General features: G+C 46.7%; 1 protein-coding gene across 7 annotated transcripts in view; it reads right to left on the bottom strand.

Moving 5' to 3' along the window:
* Positions 1 to 24,204, bottom strand: part of ELAPOR1 (endosome-lysosome associated apoptosis and autophagy regulator 1) — a 92,667-nt gene that overhangs the window by 25,684 nt on the left and 42,779 nt on the right. For 3 of the 7 annotated variants that reach the window (XM_011541825.3, NM_020775.5, XM_011541826.4), the window contains exons 2-7: positions 19,084 to 19,204; positions 16,407 to 16,599; positions 9,085 to 9,232; positions 8,530 to 8,610; positions 7,519 to 7,624; positions 7,261 to 7,410 (exon numbers count right to left, since the gene is read on the bottom strand). In XM_011541825.3, coding sequence (XP_011540127.1) covers positions 7,261 to 7,410; positions 7,519 to 7,624; positions 8,530 to 8,610; positions 9,085 to 9,232; positions 16,407 to 16,599; positions 19,084 to 19,204 — 799 coding nt within the window. Of the gene's footprint in view, positions 1 to 7,260; positions 7,411 to 7,518; positions 7,625 to 8,529; positions 8,611 to 9,084; positions 9,233 to 16,406; positions 16,600 to 19,083; positions 19,205 to 24,204 lie in introns of those variants that run through there. The other 4 variants (XM_011541827.3, NM_001267048.2, NM_001284352.2 and 1 more) reach the window with 4 other exon arrangements.

Here is a 24,204-nt window from a genome sequence, read left to right as displayed (position 1 = left end):
TAAATGCAGAAATAACTCCCTCACTATGCTATAGGTAATAAATGAGATCATGTTTTGTCAATTGGAGAGTACTATACACGTGACTTATGAGTGTTACCTGTACCAGGAGTATTTTCTTTTCTTTTCTTTTTTTTAGAGACAGGGCCTCACTCTGTCACCCAGGCTGGAGTTCAGTGGCACAATCAGCTCAGTACAGCCTCTACCTCCCAGGCTCAGGTGATCCTCCCACCTCAGCCTTCTGAGTAGCTGGGACTACAGGTGCATGCCACCACACCTGGCTAATTTTTTTATTTTTGTAGAGACAGGAGTCTTGTTCTATTACCCAGACTGGTCTCAAACTCCCGGCCTCAAGCACTCCTCCTGCCTCGGCCTCCCAAAGTATTAGGATTACAGGTGTGAGCCATAGTGCTGGCCTGAGTATTTTCATATTAAAAAAGGAGTGTTGGGACAGGGCTTAAGGTAAATGAATTAATAAAATTACTGCTTACTATATGCCAGGCCCCTTTCTAAATCCTTTACCTGTATTAACCAATCCTCACAATAACACTATGAGGCAGATATAATTATTGTCATTCCCATTTTTTTTTTTAAAGAGATGGGGTCCTGTTCTGATGCCCAGGCCGGAGTGCAATGGAGCAATCATGGCTCACTCAGCTTCTAACTCCTGGGCTTGAACGATCCTCCTGCGTCAGCCTCCCCAGTAGCTGAGACTACAAGCAATAGCCACTGTGCCCAGCTGTCCTTCCCATTTTATAGACAAAGAAACGGAGGCACAGATAAGTAATTTGCCCAAGGTGGCACTGCTACTAATTGGTGGAGCAGGGATTTGAGCCCTAGTAATTTAGTTCTGGAGTCCATGCTCTTTAACTTCATGCTATTCTGTTTAGGAAATGGATCACTAATATGAAACATAACACAAAGAAATTAAACCTAATGATCAAATTTTAGGGACCAGTGAGAAAGATGCTTTTAGTCAGGCTTTTGTCCTTCACAATGCTCCTGTGAGTTCTCCAATCTCCACCCACATTAATTCCACCTTAGTTTAGGTCCTGGACATCAGCAATGATGCCAGCTGCAACATCTCCCTACCACAGCCTCTGCCTCCAGCATTCCCTCCCTCCTCTGCATGGCAGCCAGAGTGGTCTTTCAAAAGCACTGGCTGAAATCCTTCATTTAAAATTCTTTTTTTTTGAGATGGAGTTTCCCTCTTGTCACCCAGGCTAGAGTGCAATGGTGTGATCTCGGCTCACTGCAACCTCTGCCTCCTAGGTTCAAGCAATTCTCTTGCCTCAGCCTCCCAAGTTGCTGGGATTACAGGCGTGTGCCACCACACCCAGCTAATTTTTGTATTTCTAGTAGAGACGGGGTTTCACCAGGTTGGTCAGGCTGGTCTCCAACTCCTGACCTCAGGTGATCCACCTGCCTCAGCCTCCCAAAGTGCTGGGATTACAGGCATGGCCGTGCCTGGCCTCTTAAAATTCTTTAATGACCTCCACTGCTGATAGGATCAAATCCCAATTTTTTGCCCCTACAATAGCACAGAAGGACTGCTCCATAATCTGTTTCCGGCCTGCTTCTCAGCCTTAGATGCAACTTCTCGCCACCTAATCTCCAGCCAAGCTGAATTATTTGCAGTTTCCTGAGCTTTCTGGCCTTTGCTCACACTTCTTTTTTTTTTTTTTTTTTTTGGAGACAGAGTCTCACTCTGTCACCCAGGCTGGAGTGCAGTGGCATGATCTCGGCTCACTGCAACCTGCAACCTCCGCCTCCCGGGTTCAAGCAATTCTCCTGCCTCAGCCTCCCGAGTAGCTGGGACTAAAGGCGCCCGCCACCATGCCCGGCCAATTTTTTGAATTTTTAGTAGAGATGGGGTTTCACCATGTTGCCCAGGCTGGTCTCAAACTCCTGAGCTCAGTCAATCCACCTGCCCTGGCCTCCCAAAGTGGTAGGATTACAGGTGTGAGCCACTGCGCCTGGCCCTTTGCTCACACTTCTATCCCAAACATCCTGCCCCCACCAAATCACTAATTAACCTTTCATCTTTCCAGATCTTAGCGAGTGAAACTTTTCCTTCTTTTCTAGAGGGGACTAACCATTTTCCTTTTTTGCCTCCACTACATTCTTTTTTTTTTTTTGAGACAGTATTATTCTGTCACCCAGATTGGAATGCAGTGGCATGATCTTGGTTCACTGCAGCCTCCACCTCCCAGGTTCAAGTGATTCTTCTGCCTCAGCCTCCCAAGTAGCTGGGATTACAGGCGTGCGCCACCACACCCAGCTAATTTTTGTATTTCTAGTAGAGTTGGGGTTTTACCATATTGGCCAGGCTGGTCTTGAACTCCTGACCTCAGGTGATCCACCCACCTCGGCCTCCCAAAGTGCTGGGATTACAGGCGTGAGCCGCCACACCCGGCCCACCTCCACTGCATTCTACACCCAGCTCTCCTATCCCAACACCATGGAGAGTTACTGCACTTAGGTGTTTATATAACCACATTTCCTTTTCAACATAAGCTGGAGGTCAGGCACCAGCTCTAACCCTAGCACCAAGCTAGTCCTTGGCAACTGGCAGGTACTCAGAATATATTTGTAAATGCATGGACCTTCTGTCACTCCCTGCATACAGTCTATCATAGGCTATCATCAGAGTCTCCCTGCAATTTCCCAGTCTCTCACTGACCCTGTATTCTGGAAGAGTCAAGTCTCAAAGAAATATGACTCTCTTTGTACCCCAAGCCGGTGAGGTTGTCAACAAGTTGACCATGTTCCTCATAGTAAAAACTCACTGGCCAGGTGCAGTGGCTCACGCCTGTAATCCCAACACTTTGGGAGGCCAAGGCGGGTGGATCAACTGAGGTCAGGAGTTCAAGACCAGGCTGGCCGAGATGGTGAAACCCCGTCTCTACTAAAAATACAAAAATTTAGGCAAGCATAGTGGCAGGCACCTGTAATCCTAGTTACTCGGGAGGCTGAGGCAGGAGAATCACTTGAACTGGGGAGGCAGAGATTGCAGTGAGCCAAGATTGCGCCATTGCACTCCAGCCTGGGCAACAAGAGGGAAACTCCATCTCAAAAAAAAAAAAAAAGAAAGAAAAAAGAAAAAACTCACTTCTCAGTCAATGGGGCACATTGAGAAATCAGTGGCAGAAGGAAAATAGATTCCAAGAATTCAGACTCCCAACCTAATGCTTTTATAACAGCACTCTGGATAAAAATCAGCTTACACAGAGTTGATCAAAACACTTCTATGAGAAGTTTTTCTAGAACCACCTTGCCATTCAAACCCTGCCCAACTGCTGGACCATAAAGGGAGCCAGAGATTTAGGCTAACAAAGGTTGCTGTTGATAGAAGCAGAGTGGGGAAGAGGAATAAAAAATGCAAGTGGAAAAACAGGAATCTAGACTTACAGATAAAAACTTCCCCCAAGATCTAAAGATTTCTGTTTTAGTTGAAAACTGCACTCATAGTGGCGTGATCTCGGCTCGCTACAACCTCCACCTCCCAGCAGCCTGCCTTGGCCTCCCAAAGTGCCGAGATTGCAGCCTCTGCCCGGCCGCCACCCCGTCTGGGAAGTGAGGAGCGCCTCTTCCCGGCCGCCATCCCATCTGGGAAGTGAGGAGCGTCTCTGCCCGGCCACCCATCGTCTGAGATGTGGGGAGCACCTCTGCCCTGCCGCCCCGTCCAGGATGTGAGGAGCGTCTCTGCCCGGCCGCCCCGTCTGAGAAGTGAGGAGCCCCTCCGCCCGGCAGCCGCCCGGTCTGAGAAGTGAGGAGCCCCTCCGCCCAGCAGCCACCCCGTCTGGGAAGTGAGGAGCGTCTCTGCCCGGCAGCCGCCCCGTCCGGGAGGGAGGTGGGGGGGTCAGCCCCCCGCCCGGCCAGCCGCCCCGTCCAGGAGGTGAGGGGCGCCTCTGCCCGGCCGCCCCTACTGGGAAGTGAGGAGCCCCTCTGCCCGGCCACCACCCTGTCTGGGAGGTGTACCCAACAGCTCATTGAGAACGGGCCATGATGACAATGGCGGTTTTGTGGAATAGAAAGGGGGGAAAGGTGGGGAAAAGATTGAGAAATCGGATGGTTGCCATGTCTGTGTAGAAAGAGGTAGACATGGGAGACTTTTCATTTTGTTCTGTACTAAGAAAAATTCTTCTGCCTTGGGATCCTGTAGATCTGTGACCTTACCCCCAACCCTGTGCTCTCTGAAACATGTGCTGTATCCACTCAGGGTTGAATGGATTAAGGGCGGTGCAAGATGTGCTTTGTTAAACAGATGCTTGAAGGCAGCATGCTCCTTAAGAGTCATCACCACTCCCTAATCTCAAGTAGCCAGGGACACAAACACTGCGGAAGGCCGCAGGGTCCTCTGCCTAGGAAAACCAGAGACCTTTGTTCATTTGTTTATCTGCTGACCTTCCCTCCACTATTGTCCTGTGACCCTGCCAAATCCCCCTCTGCGAGAAACACCCAAGAATGATCAATTAAAAAAAAAAAAAAAAAGAAAAAAAAAGAAAACTGCACTCATTTGGCAAGATCTGTGTAGGTAAATATGACTTTTGTTTTAGGAATAGTGTAGAAACAAGCAATTCACAAGGTCAGTGGCTGGTCTTGGCTGAGCAAACACATACTTTCACACCTGTGTGAAGTTTGGCATGTCTTTGTAGGGATATGTAGGTCTGTTTGAGAGAGGGCCTTGTGCTGGGTTTACATATAAACTGTGTAAAAAAGGAAAAGTAGAATAGTTGTGAGTGTTTCTGGGGAAAAGATGGGACTGCTTCTCTCTCCCTTCTTGTTTGTTTCAGAACCTGTCTTGGAGGTTGGCCCTCATACCAATGTCTGGACTGTCTGAGCAGAAAGCCATCTGCTGGCACTGCCCATCCCACATCAGAGCCTCGATACCCCCTGGAACTCCCTCAAATAACCACGTCCTATTTCTCAAATTGGAATGCTTTAGGAAGCTATCCTCAAACAATAAAAACAGGCTGCTTCCTGCTGTCCCCTTACTTTCCCTCAGAGCAGTGGTTTGCAAATTGTGTTACAAGGAAACCTAGATTTCCCAGAATGCCTGATTTGACTTCAATGAATGCTCTCAGGTTGATAAAAGATTGTCATTTGCATCTTTAGACCTTGTTATCAAAATCTTCTTGTTCATCAATATAGGCTCATGAAATTAACTTTGATAATAATTGTTATACGTTAAAATGTATAAATTTATACATTTTAAATCTACAGTATCTACTGTTTATGTTATAATCTTTTTTTTTTTTTTTTTTTTTTTTTGAGACTGAGTCTCGCTCTATCACCCAGGCTGGAGTGCAGTGGCACGATCTCTGCTCACTGCAACCTCCACCTTCCGGGTTCAAGTGATTCTCCAGCCTCAGCCTCCTGAGTAGCTGGGATTACAGGCACACGCCCCCACGCCGGGCTAATTTTTGTATTTTTAGTAGAGACGTGGTTTTGCCATGTTGGCCAGCCTGGTCTTGAACTCCTGACCTCAAGTGATCTGCCTGCCTCGGCCTCCCAAAGTGCTGGGATTACAGGCGCGAGCCACCACCCCTGGCCTATATTATAATCTTATATAATGTTTCATTTAAAATTTCACCACTGACTGGGTGTGGTGGCTCACACCTGTAACCCAGCACTTTGGGAGGCCGAGGTGGGCAGATCACCTGAGGTTGGGAGTTCGAGACCAGCCTGGCCAACATAATGAAACCCTGTCGCTACTAAAAATACAAAATTAGCTGGGCATGGTGGTGCACGCCTGTAATCCCAGCTACTTGGGAGGCCGAGGCAGGAAAATTGCTTGAACCCGGGAGGCAGAGGTTGTGGTGAGCCGAGATCACGCCACTGCATTCGAGCACTCCAGCTTGGGCAACAAGAGTGAAACTCCGTCTCAAAAAAAAATAAAAATAAAAATAAAAATTCACCACTTAAAAAAAATGACTGGACTGGGCACAGTGTCTCATGTCTGTAATCCCAGCACTTTGGAAGGCTGAGGCAGGAGGATCACTTTGAGGTCAGGAGTTCGAGACCAGCCTGGGCAACACAGTGAGACCGTGTTTCTACAACAGCAACAAAAAGATTGCAACCCAGGCCGGGCGCGGTGGCTCATGCCTATAATCCCAGCACTTTGGGAGGCTGAGGCGGGCGGATCACGAGGTCAGGAGATCGAGACCACCCTGGCTAATACAGTGAAACCCTGTCTCTACTAAAAATACAAAAAATTAGCCGGGCGCAGTGGCGGGCGCCTGTAGTCCCAACTACTCAGGAGCCTGAGGCAGAAGAATGGCATGAACCTGGGAGGCAGAGTTTGCAGTGAGCTGAGATCGCGCCACTGCACTCCAGCCTGGGCGACAGAGAAAGACTCCGTCTCAAAAAAAAAAGGATTGCAACCCTTTCCTTAGCTTCCCTAATCCCTCTAGCTCTGAGCTGCTTTTTCTTTTTGCCATGACACCATGGCACTTTTTACCATCTCACATACTATATAATTTATTATATATGTATCATCTATTTCTTTTTGTTTATTGTCTCTCTTCCCCCCACCCCCGAATGTAAACCCCATAAAAACAGGGACCTTTGTCTGTTTTGTTCACTGACGTATTCCAAGCACATAGAATAGGGCCTGGTAGATAGGAGAGGCTCAATATTTATTGAATGATTTTTTTTTTTTTTTTTTTTTTTTTTTTTTTTTTTAGAGACAGGGTCTTACTCTGTCACCCAGGCTGTAGTGCAGTGGTGTGATCATGGCTCACTGAAGCTTCAACCTCCTAGGCCCAATTGATCTTCCCGGTTTGACCTCCCAAAGTGCTGAGATTATAGGCTCACAGCTTGAGAGGCTGAGGCAGGAGGATCACTTGAGCCCAGGAGTTCAAGACCAGCCTGGGCAACTAGCAAGACCCCTGTCTCTATAAAAATAAAAATAAAAAATTAGCTGGGTGTGGTGGGGCACGCTGGTAGTCTTAGCTACTCAGGAGGCTGAGGCGGGAGGATTGCTTGGGACAGGGAGTTTGAGGCTGCAGTGAGCTATGATCGCACCACGGCACTTCAGCCTGGGTGATAAAGTGAGACCCTATCTCAAAAAAAAAAAAAAATGACAAAGTGATTAATGGATATATGGATTGGCAAGGGTATTCCAGGATCCAGAAAGGAAGGGTTTAAGAATTACCATCCTCAGCTTGGCCAGAAGGATGGCTCTATTCCCTGGTATCTCCTTGTGTGTTTTGGTGGTACTCTCTATCCCCAAACTCTTCCCACCCTCAGAAACATCACCTGAGTATTTGTCAGGGTCACACTGGTGGCAAGAAGTTTCTCCTTTATTTGAATAAGAGTTGGCTGGGCAAAGTTTGCAGAAAGAGGAGCCCTGCTTGTCTGCATACGTGCCAGGTTTGCAGGGGAAGCATTCTGAAGTGTAGGCCACCCCTAGGGAGGAGGAAGAGCACAGAAAAGCAAGGATTCAGCCTGGAGACTGAGTCCCCAGGAGACTGCAAAGTCAACAGCCCAGGAAGTCAGTAACCCTGCTCTCAGTACCTGTTATGGCAATGTTTCTCACCAGCACAGGCTTGGGTACTTTGGTCCATACTGAGAAGGCTGTGGTTCTCCAATAGAGGACATTATTGCCTCGATTTAGCTCCACCTAAAAACCACAAACAGGAGCATTCATTCATCACAGAGAAAAATCTCGCTAATCTGTTGGTATAGCCTCTTGTTGGGATGACTTCTCTTACTAACTGCATGGTAATGCTTCTTCTGACCCTCTTCCTCCTCTTCCTCAGCTCTGTCCTTCTTCCCAACTTAGCACAGCTCCTCTCTCTTTCTAAGCCTCCTCTTACAACCCTCCCACCACTCCCTGGATCATATATACCATGAGCATCTCTTATGGTGAGACCAGTAAAGAGACCTGAGGGTCCTGACAACAGGGTGACTGGCACTCCCTCATTCTTCTGTGGTTTTGCAGGGGGACAGCCCCCCTCCCCAGAATACCCAGTCTTTTTTTTTTTTTTTTTTTTTTTGAGACAGAGTTTCGCTTTTGTTGCCCAGGCTGGAGTGCAATGGCTCGATCTCAGCTCACCACAACCTCCGCCTCCTGGGTTCAAGCGAGTCTCCTGCCTCAGCCTCCCGAGTAGCTGGGATTACAAGCATGGGCCACCATACCTGGCTAATTTTTTTGTATTTTTAGTAGAGATGGGGTTTCTCCATGTTGGTCAGGCTGGTCTCGAACTCCTGACCTCAGGTGATCCACCTGCCTCGACCTCCCAAAGTGCTGGGATTACAGGCATGAGCCACCATGCCCGGCAGAAGACCCAGTCTTAAAGCTGGAAAGCTGCTGGTCTTTGGAGTCAAGCCATAGAAGCTACAAGTCAGCTCACACCCATATTCTGTCAATGCTAGAGGACAGTAACTACAGCATCTTCATCATATCACATTCCTGCCCTCCAGGGACATTGGGGTGGAGGCTCAGACTGGGAGGAAGCACTCTCTGAGGAAAGGCCCTGGGTCCCTTTTCTGGGATCTCTGGGAGAAGGCTGGTGTGATACTCACACTGTGGAATTCCCATCCTTTCTCTGTGGTCTTCATCCACCTGGAGTCATCTGCATTGGGCTGGCACTGGTCATTCTGAACCTGACATAAAAAGAGTTTGGGACCAGAGTCTCAGCTTTCTAAGGAAATGGATACCTTTCCCCACATTGCACCAGCCCTCCAGAGGGCCCTTCTTTATATGGGAAGAGTTGCCAATTTCCTTTAGGGATTGAGCTCAAAACACATGAGCCTCAAAGTAGGGCAGGAGTTAGTCACACACACAAAATGAGCGTTGACACCAAAGAAATAACTTGTAACTCAGATGTGCTGTTTTCATGTCTGAGCTGGATAAAACACTTAGAAATCTGCCAGACAATTCTTCCCCCAATAGTCCTTTCACTTTTGCCTTTTCTTCTTGCCTCCTGGGCCTCAGCTCATTTTGCCCACAGCTCTCTCCAGAGAGAAAACAACAGTGATTCCCCCAAGCAGGGCTACACTCATGATGGATTCCTCAAACGGATCTGAACCCCAGAGAGGCTTTTTAGCTCCCACCCTCCACCTTGGCCAGGGGCTTACGAAAAACTCAAAGATGATGCTGGAGTCTGGATAGTAGTATTCGAAGTTAACGGTGCCAGATTGCTTCAGGTTGACGGCGTACATCAGTGTGGCTGTGCATTCGTCCGTGTTGGAGGCGATGTAGTCGCCCCGGGGAACCCACTTGGACCTGTGAAGGAACAGGAACCAGGTTCACAGGCAGGAGCACAGCCCACCAGGCTTTGTGCCATGTGCAGGTCTCATGTTCTGCTGGGTCTTTGGGAATTTTCAGGCTTGTGATTCACAAACTGAAACTTGGACCTGAAAATGCTCAGTGAAGAAAGACAAAAGAAGCTCTCAGGTAGGTCAAGGACCTGGAGTACAGCTAAGAAGAGGAAGGCAGACAGGTGAGGAAAACAAGCAGGCATGCCTCCACATTGTGCAGAGCTACCTGGGATACGGGTGGCAGGTGAAGTTGGGGAGGGCTAACATCTTTTTTTTTTTGAGGCAGAGTCTCGCTCTGTCTCCCAGGCTGGAGTGCAGTGGCGTGGCCTCGGCTCACCACAACCTCTGCCTCCCGGGTTCAAGCAATTCTCCTGTCTCAGCCTCCCGAGTAGCTAGGATTACAGGCATGCACCACCACACCCAGCTAATTTCTGTATTTTTTTTTAGTAGAGACAGGTTTTCACCATGTTGGCCAGCCTGGTCTCGAACTCCTGACCTCAAGTGATCCACCCACCTCGGCCTCAAAAAGGGCTGGGATTACAGGCATGAGCCACTGCGCCTAGTCAGGGAGGGGTAACATTTATTGGTTGCTTACTACCTTCCAGGAATTGAACTACGTGCTTTATATTCATGATTTATTTTCATCAATAAGAGGAAATGTTTTTTCTGTTTAAGAGATGATGAAACTGGGGCTTGGAGAGTGCCAAGCCCAGTATTACGAAGCAGCGAGTGGCAGGGCTGAAATCAGGTCTGCCAAACTCTAAAGCTGTCAAATAACTCAGTAGACACAGATATTCTTCAGAACTCAGACATCCACCCAGTCTAGTCTACCTGTTTTTCCAGAAATGTCTACTATAAGATGCTGCATGTAAATGGTTTTTATGGAAACAAGGAGGGCCGGAGAACCCTGGAGACAGCCAACCTGGTCATGTCTGTTTTATCTCCTAAATACGTGTTCACTCTATCCACCCTGTCCACGGGCTCTCCCTACACTCACCACCACACCATCTATGAACCAGCCCCCAAACTTGTCTCCCTGAAGCCAGTCCCACATCCTCCAAGCCCTCTGCATGCTGCAGCCCAGCGGACAGATCCTCCAGAATAGACGTCTGACCATGGCACTCCCTTGCTTCAAATTAAAACCCCTGGGACTGACTCCCTGTGGCCCTTAGGATAGGGTACAAATTCCTGATGCACTCTATATACTTCAACTCTATGACATTTCTTTCAATTCCTCTGCCAAGCTTTCTCTTACCTCTGGGCCTCCTGACATCCTCTTCCCTCTTCCTGGAATGAACTTCCTCCTCTCTCTCTCAGTTTAACTCCTACTGTGTCTTAAATGTCACTTAATCTAAAAAGTCTTCCTTGATTCTATCTGCTTCTGCTATGGGTGCCCTTAGCTCTCTTTGCTCTCCTTCTCATAGCCATAATCCCATGATATTTTATATATTTTTAGTATATTATGAAATATGTAAGACCTATACAATGGTGTAATGAACACTCCCCGACCCATCACCCTGCTTAAGAAGTTCAACACAGCAGAAGCCTCTGCGTACCCTCCACTAACCTCATCCCTTTTCCTGGAACACACTGCCTTCCCCACTGCCAAGTGACTAATTTCCTGAATCTGGTGTTTAACATGCGCATGCGGTTCTCTACATGTATGTATCTCTAAACAACATACTGTATGGTAGTGCTTCGCATGTTTTCAAGCTTCACATAAATGGTATTATATTTATGGGCTCTGAAACTCACTTTGGGAAGGAAGGGACTTCAATATACTAACTGTGAGATTCATCCATATTCACACATCCAGCTTTTTTGGCTTCGTCTTTACTACTGCATAACATTCCTTTGTACGGCTCTGCCATATATATTTGTGCATTACTCGTTGATGGACATTTGGATTGTTTGCAGTTTCATGTGCACATTCTGCTGTGTTCCTGTCTCCTTAGGCACATGTCTGAGTAGAAAGCCTGGGAGGAGAACTGTATGTGAGCCTCCCATTTACCAGCTACTGCTACACTGTTCCTGTTGCTCCACATCCTCTCCAAATTTGAAACTGTCAGACCTCAAAATTGTTGCCAATATTATGTGAGGGAAGAGACCAAATTTACCTTACTCACTAAAGTATTCCCAGCACCAGCCTGGACCTGGCACATAGTGGGGAGTCACAGGGTTAAAGAGTTGAATGTGGAAACAGGTAATCGAAAACACTCACGCTATTGCACTGTTTTGCCTGAGACCAGCCCAGGTTTCCAGTTGCTTAATAATGGCCAGTTGGGTGGGCGTGGTGGCTCATGCCTGTAATCGCAGCACTTTGGGAGGCTGAGGCGGGTGGATCACCTGAGGTGAGGAGTTCGAGACCATCGAGACCAGCCTGACCAACATGGTGAAACCCCATCTCTACTAAAAATGCAAAAATTAGCTGGGTGTTGTGGCACGTGGCTGTAATCCCAGCTCCTCAGGAGGCTGAGGCAGGAGAATCACTTGAACTTGGGAGGCGGAGGTTGCAGTGAGCCGAGATTGTGCCATTGCACTCCAGCCTGGGTGATAAAGCGAGACTCCATATCAAAATAATAATAATAATAGCCAGTTAAAGGAATCTCAGATTAGTCCACAGATTTCCCCCTGTGTTTGTCAGAATAACATGGTTATTTTCAGCTCTTTGACAGTCAGTGTTATTCTCAAAACGAAAACATATAACATGAGCTCATCCAAAATATCCCAGCTAACCTAACAGCATTGATTTCTCCTTGTTGAAAGGGATAACCTTTAATGCTGATATGCTCCACGACATCAGCTATAAATAACTCTTGAAGTTTAATAAATAATTTAAAAGATGCCATAAGTGGGTTACATTTGCAAAATGCATCATAATTCTGATTTTTGTCAGAATTGCCCCCGGTGAAGACATTTCATATTCAATAATAACAACATGTTTTGATTGATTTCTAGTGTCAGGCATCGCTCTAAATTCTTTACAAGTATCATCTCATCAATCCTTACCTCAACTATAAGAGTACTATTTTTATCATCATTTTTAGAATGAAGAAACTGAAGCCCAGAAGTGCTTAGGAAACTTACCCTAGGTCATCCAGTTGTGATCTGCATATAATGTTTTTCATTTTTAATGTTTACATTTCTCTCTCATTCTTGTTTCACTGTCACAGTCTTTGGGCGTCTGCTTGATCTTTTCCACTAATATATGACATTCTTTCTATTACACCCACGTCACTCCTGTTCCCTTAGCTTATCCTAGTTTCTGATCTCAGGCCAGTACCTTAGCCCTGGGACATCAACCCAGGACCCATGGGAGGATCCCTGAAGGCTCAGAATCCTGCCATGGAGACTCCGTTCAGCTGGTCTGTTTTGTCCCCAATTATTTATTTTGTCTATTTTGAGCCAGACACTATGTTAGATGCTGGAGACACAGTGATGAACAAGACAAGTATGATCCTTTCCCTCTTGGGGCTTGCATTCTCTTTCTAGTTGAGGAGACAGAAGCTTAACTAATCACACAATCACATAGCAATGACTGTGATAAGTGCCATTGGAGAAATGCAGGATGATAAAGAGAGTGTAACAGGAGTCTGTGGGGTCGGGGATGGTTTCTTTGAGGAAGGGATTTTTAGGTAGAGACCTGAGGGTTAAGTAGGAGACATAGAAGAGGGGACAGAGAGTCACATGTTCAAATGCCCTGAGGAGGGGAAGGAGTGTGATGGTCAGTGTGGCTGGAACACAGCAAGTGAAGACAGAAGGAACTTGGGAGAGGCTGGGGAAACAAGCAGAGGGCAGGGGGCAGGGCAGCAGGGCCCTGCAGGCTGTGGGAAGGTAGTGGACTTTATCCCAAGAGCAATTGGTAGCCATTGAATCTAGGGTTTTGAGCGGGAAAGTACTGTGACTGGATTTAAGGAGATGAGGCTGGGTGCAGTGGCTCACATCCGTAATCCCAGTACTTTGGGAGGTTGAGGCGGAAGGATCATTTGAGCCCAGGAGTTTGAGTCCAACCTGGGCAACATAAGTGAAACCGTGTCTCTAGAAAAATAAGAAGTTAGCCAGGTGTGGTGGCATGAGCCTGCAGTCCCAGCTACGCGGGAGGTTGAGGTGGGAAGATGGCTTCAGCCCGGGGAGGTTGAGGCTGCAGTGAGCTGTGATTGCGCCATTGCACTCCAGCCTGGGTGACAGAGTGAGACCTTGTTTCTTAAAAAAAAGAAAAAAGAAAGATGAATCTGGCTGCTGAGTGGACAGGCCTGGAGGAGGCTGGGAATGGAAGCAGGAGATGAGCTTGGAGTCTCTTGAGGCAGAGCAGGCAGGATTTGGGTAGCTGCACAGCTGAATAGGAAAGCCAAATACTTGCGCTCTAGGTATTAGCTCAATTATTGCCTTTCTGAGGGATGATGGGGAAACCACAAAAGCTCTCCAGATGGCCATTTCCTCTCCATTGACAGAGAAATATCCTCTCCCTCCCTCCCCGGGATGTCGTGGGATGCCTTAAGATGCAGGCCCTGAAATAGTCCGTGCGGTGGAAACACAAGTTGTTATTAACCCACCCACATCCTGCCTCTCTGAGAGATAATGATTTCTGGACTCTCGGTGCAGTCCCCAGAGAGAGAAGAAATCCTTCCTTTACATGGGTAGGAATTGACTGAGCCATGTCTGCACCTTGTCCAGGGCCTAATGACATTCTCAGTTAGGACTCAAATGGGAGTTGGTTGTCTTAACCCACACATTCCCGCTCCTTCCAGCTTTAAAGCTCTCTAGCTTTATCTCTGCCTCCAGTATTGTCATGCTAATGAATCTGACACACCAAGTTGAACTCTAAAATAACATAACATTAAAATTGGACTACAGATTAAATAGCCACTGCTTGGCTTAGACAAGATTTAAGTATAGGAATGGGAAACATTGCTCCCGGTTTTTAGAAATCCAAGTGTAATACAATTCTTGAGTCCTTCTTATCCATTTGATTGTTTGGGTATAAGTGAAACTTTCACTTGCTTTCCTCCTGTATTCACTGTCCATATTTAATAAGGAACAATATGGCTGCCTTTCACATCCTCATATCCCCCCACTTTCGCTCCCTAGGACCCAGTGTTGCCTTGCCCATAATAAATGTTATTTGAATGTGGCATTATGGAGCAGTGGAAGCTTGGGTTCGAATTTCAATCTCGCCGGCTGTAAACCGGATAACAAAGAGCAGGTCATAACCTTGCTGAGCTTCCAGTTCCTCGTCTCTGTAATAGAAATAGTAATGCCTATTTCACAAGGTTCTTGTGAGAATTAGAGAAAATAATATATGTAAAGCATCCAGAATAGTGCCTGGCCTACAAAAGACATATCTGAAATAGATATCCAGTTCTCCAAGCACCCTGGACTGAGCTTTCCAAGAAAATTTGCTAGTCATTGGGGTCTCACAGCATTTGGAAGATTTCAGCCAGCACTGGGCAAAGGCTAGGCAGAATCAGTTTCAGAAGTTAGCAGCCAAGGTGGCCCATGCCTGTAATCCCAGCACTTTGGGAGGCTGAGGCAGGTGGATCACCTGAGGTCAGGAGTTTGAGACCAGCCTGGCCAACATGGTGAAACCCCATCTCTACTAAAAAAATACAAAAAAATTAGCTGGGTGCGGTGGCTCACGCTGTAATCCCAGCACTTTGGGAGGCCGAGGCAGGTGGATCACGAGGTCAGGAGATCGAGACCATCCTGGCTAACACGGTGAAACCCCATCTCTACTAAAAATACAAAAAATTAGCTGGGCGTGGTGGCGGGTGCCTGCAGTCCCAGCTACTCGGGAGGCTGAGGCAGGAGAATGGCGTCAACCCGGGAGGCAGAGCTTGCAGTGAGCGGAGAGGGCACCACTGCATTCCAGCCTGGGTGACAGAGCGAGACTCCATCTCAAAAAAAAGAAAAAAAAAAAATTAGCCGGGCATTGTGGCACACACACCTGTAACCCAGCTACTCAGGAGGCTGAGGGAGGAGAAACACTTGAACCTGGGAGCTGGGGCTTGTGGCGAGCCAAGATGGCACCACTGCACTCCAGCCTGGGCGACAGAGTGAGACTCTGTCTCAAAAAAAAAAAAAAGAAGAAGAAGAAGAAGTTAGCACCCAAGCCGGGAAGATACCCAAGCTTTGCATATTGTGTTCCAGTCAAGCTGAGAAAGTATATTGGCTGATCTGAAATTCCGTGGTGGAAATCCGGTTGGTTTTTTTGGTTTTTGTTTTTGTTTTTCTTTTTTTTTTTTTTTTAAGACGGAGTTTCACTCTTGTTGCCCAGGCTGGAGTGCAATGGTGCGATCTCAGCTCACTGCAACTTCCGCTTCCCAGTTCAAGCGATTCTCCTGCCTCAGCCTCCCGAGTCGCTGAGATCACAGGTATGCACCACCAGGCCTGGCTAATTTTTTGTATTTTTAGTAGAGACGGGGTTTCACCATGGCCAGGTTGGTCTTGAACTCCTGACCTCAAGTGATCCACCCGCCTCGGCCTCCCAGAGTGCTGGGATTACAGGCGTGAGCCACCGCGCCCTGCCGGTTTTTGTTTTTCAATGAGACAGGGTCTTGCTCTGTTATCCAGGGGTACAGTGGTGCGGTCATAGCTCAGTCTAACCTTGAACTCCTAGGCTCAAGTTATCCTCTTGCCTCAGCCTCTCGAGTAGCTGGGACTACGGACATGCACCACCACACCTGGCAAATTTTTTAACTTTTTGTAGAGACAGGGGTCTCGCTATGTTTCCCAGGCTGGTCTCAAACTCTTGGCCTCAGGCAATCCTCCCACATTAGCCTCTCAAAGTGCTGGGATTACAGGGGTGAGTCACTGTGCCCAGCTCCAATTGGGTTTTGTTTTAAATAGACTGGGCCATTTAACCCTTGCCCCCCTTGTCCACTCTCTTATTTCCTCATGTTTTTTACCTCCCACAAATGCCTGTCCATCACTGGTAAGTTTAGGCCAGTAAGAGTGGGCCAGGCAGAGTCACATCCACTGGTCTTGCGGGCACAGCTGCAGGCCTCACCCTGGCAGCCTGGCTTCCTCTTCCCTCCATCCTCCCTGCCCAGCCTGAGGGGCAGCGGAGGAGGCTGTCCAGTGTGCCCTGTAGCCCCTTACCCAGTGGGCTGGGGGTGGGGTGGGGGTGTGTGCAGACTCACGAAGTACAGTTCCCGGTGGACTCAGCAGCACTGTCATCCAGCTCCATGTTGGCTGAGAGGCTGGCAAAGCCATGGGGCAGCTCATCCCACTCATCAAACCGAATGCCTGTGCCGAGGGAGTAGCGGCCCTCAGCGCATGGCTTACATGACTGGTCCTTCATATCCAGAAACTCCCCGGCGTTGCAGGAGAAGGCTGGAAAACAGGGCAGAGACAAGGTGGGGCAGTGAGGTCACTGCAGCCCCAGAAGTGAATGGGCTGCGAGCAGCTGAAGGGAGGAGCGCTGGGTTGGGGTCTAGGAGTTTGGCCCACTAAGATTTAGGGCCATGGCATTTACTGTGTGATTTGATTTTATTTTTCTTAAAAAAATTTTTTTTTCAGCAGTGATATTCCTTGCTATGTGTCATTCTATTTGTATGGAACGGCCAAAAGAGGTGAAGCCATAGAGACAGAAAGTAGATTTGTGGTTGCCAGGGGCTGTGGGGAGGGGCCTGGGGAGAGATTGCTAATAATATGAGGTTTCTTTTTAGGATGATTAAAATGTGAAATGAGAGTGATGATGGTTGCTGTGAATATTCTAAAAACCACTGAATTTTATCCTTAAAGGAATGAATTTCATGGCATATAAATTATATACCAATAAAGCTGTTATAAAAAAAATAGATCTAGGGCCACGGATGCTCTGCCTTGCTGTGGGACTTTGGGCTTGTTCCTGGCACTCGTTTCCTTTGGAGAGGTGCCCTGACCATTCTGAGAGCTCTCTGGTGAAGAAGATGCCAAGGTCTCTTGTGCTGACCCCTCTGAATGACACATGGCCCTTCAGCCTTGAATTTCTCCCTTGAGCCTCTGGCCTCTGCCTTTCTGGTTGTACTGCCACCATGCTAGGTGGAATTCTCATGACCTGTTAACTCAATCATTGCAATATCCTCCTAACTAGTTCCCTATTCTTATTTTTGCTCATTCTGTGGTCAGAGGTACCTTTCTAAAACAGATGTGATCAGGCACAGTGGCTCATACCTGTAAACCCAACACTTTGAGAGACCAAGGCAGGAGGATCACTTGAGCCCAGGAGTTTGAGGCCAACCTGGGCAACACAGTGAGACCCTGTCACTACCAAAAAAAAAAATGTTTAAATTAGCTGGGAGTGGTCGCGTGTGCCTGTAATCCTAGCTACTCAAAAGGCTGAGGTGGGAAAATTACTTGAGCCCAGGAGGTCGAGGCTACAGAGCTATGATTGCACCTCTGTACTTCAGCCTAGGAAACAGAGTGAGACCTTGTCTTTAAAAAAATAAAAAGTAAAACACGTATGTACTATTATTCTCCTTATTTTAAAAATAAACAGGCACTCCCTTTTGGTTCTAGAATTATGCTCTTGGCCTGGCATTCAAAGTTTTCCACGATTTCCCTGCAGCCTAACTTCCCAGCTTGACCTCCCACTACAAATCTTTTTTCACCTCAACTCCATCCATCACCTTCTCTGTGTTGCCTCTACCCTGGACCACAAGCTCTTCCTCAAATGTGTCACTCTTCATCCACGTCTAAACTTTTGCTCAAGTGGCCCTCCCAGCTATGCCTGATCCCTAAATATTCGTAACTCTCATTCTTTCTCATATCATATATGTCTGCCACCCACTAGGCTCTGCGCTCCTCTGGGGATGGCTGGCTCAGTGACTGGCACAGACTGGGAGCTTCATGAATGTTTCTGAAACAATGAGTGAATGAATGAATGTCTGCACTTTCCACCACCCTAAGCTTCTGAAAGCAGAGAGTGTGCCTTATTTGTCTTTGCAGTTCACACTGCATGTGCACATCATGGTGCTAACACATAGTGGGACTCACTGAAGTCAGCAGAGTTCAATGAAGATGGCTCATTTGTTTCCACTAGTCACACCTCAGTTCTGCTCAGGTCTCAGCAATATCCAGTCATTAATTTAACAAGTATTTATTTGCTCACTTACTCAACCAGGCACTGTACTAAGCTGATTTTAGAATTTAAATATCTTCAAACTCCTTTCCAACTCTTCAGATAATTCCTTAAATCTAGTGCCTGGTTTTTCTTGTTATTCCCTTTGCATTCCTAAAAGAATAATGCAGGGGAAACAGCTGCCAATTGTAGAAAAGTTGTGACTGCAGAGTCACAGAGGCGGGTGCTGGGGCTGCGGCAAGCCACTGCCTTTCCTATTGCACAATCAGACCCACAGTCAAGAAGATTCTTGTCTCCTGAAGTGATGCCTGGAGCATTTTAAAGGACGTCTCTGCAGAAACTTAGCCTCTCTGACTTCCTTTTTAAGAATGAAAGCAAATCTCAATCTTGCCTAATGACTGATTGTGGCTGGTGAGTGAGTGTAGATTGGAGAGACATACAAGGCAAAAATGAAAATGTATGCAAACAGAAAAGAATATCTGAGTGCACACAGCTGGCATTGCTTATGCTGTATCCACTGATGGGATTTAAATTCCTTTAAAAAATGAAAGCAAATTCAGATATCCAGTTTGCATTCATGAAATACTTCTGCACCAAATCTCATAAGGGTCTGGGATGTGGGGACTAATTGGGGAAAAGATCTGATTCCTTAATGCAGCTGCTCTGCCAGGAAGGGCCCAGATTGGATGGCAGGAGACTTGGGGGAGAGACCAAAGCTGAGTGACAGGGAGGCCCTGAGCAGGATAGCTGCTTACAGCACTCGGTGCCCTTGATGGGGTCAGGCAGGCTGGTGCACAGGCCCGGGGTATGCGGCACGGCGACCCTCCACCTGGAACCCGTGCTGTCACACGCCGTGTACTCATAGTGGTACTCAGACTGCAGGGGAGAGAACAGTGGGCGAAATGTGCATTAGCAGTGATCAAACATTAACAGCTTCCCACCCACTTCCCAGCACCATGGCTACTGATGCTCATCCTCTCAGAAATGGGCCCTGGGACCCCGGGCAGGGAGCTGATGATTATGAACCGAGTACAAGAACTACAATGATTTGGATCATTCCCTTCCACCCAGCCATGGTCTAGTCCCTAGAAATCATTTTTGTGTGTGACTCTCTTTGTTGTTATGTTTAAGTAGTGTCCTTATGGAGCAGAGGAACGTGGGAAAGGTAACTAAGGAACAGGCTAGAAATAGGTGGAATTTTTCTTATTCCAAAGTGTAGAATTTATGAACGAGGACATTCTAAATGGAAGGATGTTCTAAATGGAAGCCTTAGTCCACAAAAAATTTACAAAGGCTCCTCACAGAAGTGGTATGTATTTCTATTTCCCTGTGTTTCTTTTTTTTTTTTTTTTTTTTTTTTGAGACGGAGTCTCGCTCTGTCGCCCAGGCTGGAGTGCAGTGGGATGATCTTGGCTCACCGTAACCTCCGCCTCCTGGGTTCAAGCGATTCTCCTGCCTCAGCCTCCCGAGTAGCTGGGACTACAGGCGAGTGCCACCACGCCAGGCTAATTTTTGTATTTTTAGTAGAGACGGGGTTTCACCATGTTAGCCATGCTGGTCTCAAACTCCTGACTTTGTGATCCACCTGCCTTGGCCTCCCAAAATGCTGGGATTACAGGCATGAGCCACCACGCCTGGCCCTATTTCCCTGTGTTTCTTATGCTCCTTTCCACTCAGAAAGACTATGAATTCCCAATTGCATTTTATGAAAATATATTTGGCCGAGGCAGGTGATGTGCTCTCACTTGAGCCTGTTCATCCCTAATTTGTCTGTGCAATGGGAAACTCATAGTTTAATTGTTTTACCTGAGCTAAAAATAAATGGAATAACAACAAAACAACCAAATCAAGCATTAAGTAAAACAACAACAACAAACAGTTCCACTCAGAACAAAGAAAACACAATTGATGTGCCAAATGCCCTTAAGCGTTTCTTCCTCCTTTAAATCTGGTAATAAACAACAGACCATGGAATTAGTGATGATTTTGGCTCTGACAAGTATTTTACAATCTACACTTACCTAAAACTATATTCAAGCCCAGAGGTATTTTGTATTACTGTATGCATAAGAAAAATAGAATTAATGTCCCCCTTTAACCCACGTGATAGCCTGATTGCATAACATGTATAACGTCAAGGAGCTAAGACAAAAAATACAAGTTTTGAAGTTTGCTAATCTAATAATGCGTCAGGATCAAAAGGAATAAGCTTTATTTTTGGGGATAGGTAAACACACTGCATTTCATCTATTCCAAGATGCACGCTTTTTCCACATCTAACATCTATGAAATCAAGACGTGTCTTAAAATTGACACAGTAAGGAAGAATTGTGTTATGTTTTAAGGGATAGAGAGCTTTTTCTTTCTTGATGACACATTAAAAAAATGGTGTCTTAGAAGCAGTGGCATTTCAGACTTGTTGCAATATGGTAAAGATGTAGTTTCTTTTCTTTTTTTTTTTTTTAGACAGTCTCTTGCTCTGTCACCCAGGCTGGAGTGCGGTGGCGTGATGATGGCTCACTGTAATCTTGACTTCCTGGGCTCAAGTGATCCTCCCACCTCAGCTTCCCAAGTAGCTGAGACTACAGGAGCCACTACATGCAACACCATGCCCAGCCAATAGATTAACTCTTGACCAGAATCTTTGGCTTTGGATGTAGATGTCAATGTCATCTAGGAAAGAAAGAACATCAGGATGGGAATTCTTTGTGCCCTCTCTGGGTCTATTTTTCCCAATAATTCTTGTCTTTTCCTCATCTCAGACTCTGAGGACAAATAGGGCAACTATACATATATGATGTCAATCCACTTCTTAAAATGATACTCTCAAAAGGGTTTTGCTGCAAGAATGAGGGGTAAAATCCACTGTGTATAAATTAAATGGAGAATTGAGTGAGCAAGGCAGAAAGGACTGTGTGGTGCTTCTGAACATATTCATGCTGGTCTTTTGTGTAGTGTGTTCACAGTTCCCAAATACCATCTCGTTTCATCTTCACGACTCCCTATAAGGCAAGTAGACCAGGGGTTGTTTCCTTCATTGTACAGATGAGAAAATGACTCTCAGTGGTGTGATAGCTTGTCCAAAGTCATGCAGCCGATAAGTCACTGAGCTAGAAACCAGGCCTTCCCACCAGGAATCCTCCTCCACCCTTATAGACTCTGACCAAACACAGACTCACACAGGGCCAAATTTAACAGCCAAATCTAAAAATTAAACATGACAGTGTTGGTTGTGTGCCAGCAGCCAGGCTCACTTCTGAGGCCCAAGAATTGGTGTTAAAATATCTAATCTGTTCGAAGATCATCTCAGTTCATTCTGACTGCATTGGCCTCTTAGAGGCACATGGGCCAAATCCATTACTTTTCATCGTCTTTCATTTGATGTCCCCTGGGTCTCACTCAGGTGGGAGGTTTGCTGAGGAAATGGTGGTTCCAAGCCTAAGAAAATTTCCCTTTCAATATATGCTCATTTACTTCATGCCACTTGGGGATATTAATTCAAGGTGGCTGGTTCTAATACACCTGTTTCAAATCTGAACTACACTTTGAGATCACACCATTCAAGACATAAGCTTAGGGCGGGGCACGGTGGCTCACGCTGTAATCCCAGCACTTTGGGAGGCCAAGGTGGGTGGATCACCTGAGGTCAGGAGTTTGAGACCAGCCTGACCAACATGGTGAAACTCTGTCTCTACTAAAAATACAAAAATTAGGTGTGGTGGCACGCGCCTGTAATCCCAGCTACTCAGGAGGCTGAGGCAAGAGAATCGCTTGAACCTGGGAGTGGGGGCAGAGGTTGCTGTGAGCCAAGATCACGCCACTTTACTCCAGCCTGGGCAAAAAAAGCAAGACTCCGTCTAAAAAAAAAAAAAAAAAAAGACATAAGCTTAGAGAGAGTTAAACCAGGGATAGAACTGGCAGGACTCCTCAATTATATTCAGCGTTCTGCAAACACATCAATTCCCTGACAGTTTACTCAGTGATCTGTTACTCAGTTTACTCAGTGATCTGTCTGAAAGTATATAATTTGCATAAAGTGCAGGTCTACAAAGGAGCACATAAACACGTTCAGTATATACATCCAGCACGTAACTCCTTCCCCCTCCCTGTGCACAATTCTATGACGCACACCCAAATTACACTGCTAAATGGGACACAGCAGGCAGTGGGTGCTGCCTGTTCATCAGAAAAACAAAGGAAGGGTTTAGAAATGAGAGGGTGGGGAACTGTAGTTAGCGCATCCTTCCGTAGCGTCACCCAGCCATGTAATACTCCTGGGCACATGAGAAGGAAGAGGAAAAAAACCCTGAAACTGGAATATGCTTTGCCTGTATTGACTGATCTGTCGGTAACACTGATCTTTCAGTTCTAGAAGAATTCACTCAGACTCACAATATTTTTAGTCCTTACTGTCTAGGTATTGAATGGACTGCTGAAATGACCAAAAAAAAAAAAAAAAAGAAAACTGTCAAGTCAGGATGGTATCTGGATGGAAATCTGTCCTTCCTTCTACCTTCCCACCACTTGCTTTCAAAATAGTATCTGTTACTTTTAAAAATGATTATCAAAGTAACAGTTTAGAGGCCAGACGCAGTGGCTCACACCTGTAATTCTGGCACTTTGGGAGGTCAAGGTGGGCGAATTACTTGAGGTCTGGAGTTTGAGACCAGCCTGGCCATCATGGTGAAACCCCGTCTCTACTAAACATACAAAAATTAATCGGTCGTGGTGGCATGTGCCTGTAGTTCCAGCCACTCAGCAGGCCAAGGTGGGAGGATGACCTGAGCCTGGGAGGTTGAGGCTGCAGTGAGCCGTGATTGTACCACTACATTCCAGCCCAGATGACAGAGTGAGACCCTGTCTCAAATAAAAAAAGGAACTGTTTATAGACTAGAGATTGGAGGTAATCTATGGGTTAGATGCTAGAGCTGTACTTCATTACCATCCACTGTGGAAGATGAATAAGGTTTAAGCTGGTTAGCTGATGACAGAGATGTGGTCCACAATTCAGGTGGAGGAGAGTCCTAGGGACTGGGTTAGCCTCTTTCATGTGCCCTAAGTAAATAGGCAAATTAGAAGTGATCCCACCGCCCCTTCCCACATGGTGCTTGACTTCCCTAAGCCATAGCTGCCTCATTGAAAAATGGGGATATACAAACTCCTGCATCATAGAGGGGCTGGGCTGCTGTATAGTTATGCAGGCTATTCATAAGGTTACCTAGCTCAGGGCATGAGTGGAGGGTGAAATCTAGCTCAAGTCTTGCATGCTAGGTGGTATGCCCTATTCAGGTGTTGCATCTGCCCAGAGAGGGAGTGCCTTTTCCCCATGTGCGATAGGGCCCTCTGTGAGCATGATTAAGATGATGTAGGTCAAGCACATCACACAGTAGGTTTTCCAATCTCCAAAACAATTCAATGGTAAATTATTTTACCATTTTACAGATGGGAAAATTGAGTCATTGAGAGGCAAAGTCACTTGCTCAAAGCCACACAGCCAGGAACTGCCAAACCAGGATTGGACCCAGGCTATCTGAGTCCAGAATCTGTTTTCAAGGCTGCCGGTGTTTGAGAGCAGCCTGTGTAGGCTCCTGTCACACTTACATACTGTGTCTGGGGCACAGCACTGGCTTTCAAGCTGCTAAAAACTGCAAGGAAAGCCAAGTAGATAAAAAATTTTGCAAACAAGGCCCAAGGGGAAGGGACCCAAGTCCAAAGCTGTGTGCAATGGGAAGGCGGAAAGGCATTTTGTACCTTGTTGGAGGTTCAACAAAGACATCTATTGTTTGTGCCTGCCCAGTGTCCACCCCCCTTCTTCTGAGAGAAGCACCTCTCTGGGAGGAACTATTGCCTCCTTATTACATACAGAGTCTTGATGG

The sequence above is a fragment of the Homo sapiens genome, chromosome 1 (genome assembly GCF_000001405.40).
Source record: "Homo sapiens chromosome 1, GRCh38.p14 Primary Assembly".
Taxonomy (NCBI): domain Eukaryota; kingdom Metazoa; phylum Chordata; class Mammalia; order Primates; family Hominidae; genus Homo; species Homo sapiens.
The sequence above is the reverse complement of the archived record's forward strand: the minus strand, read 5'-3'. Positions and strand labels throughout refer to the sequence as shown.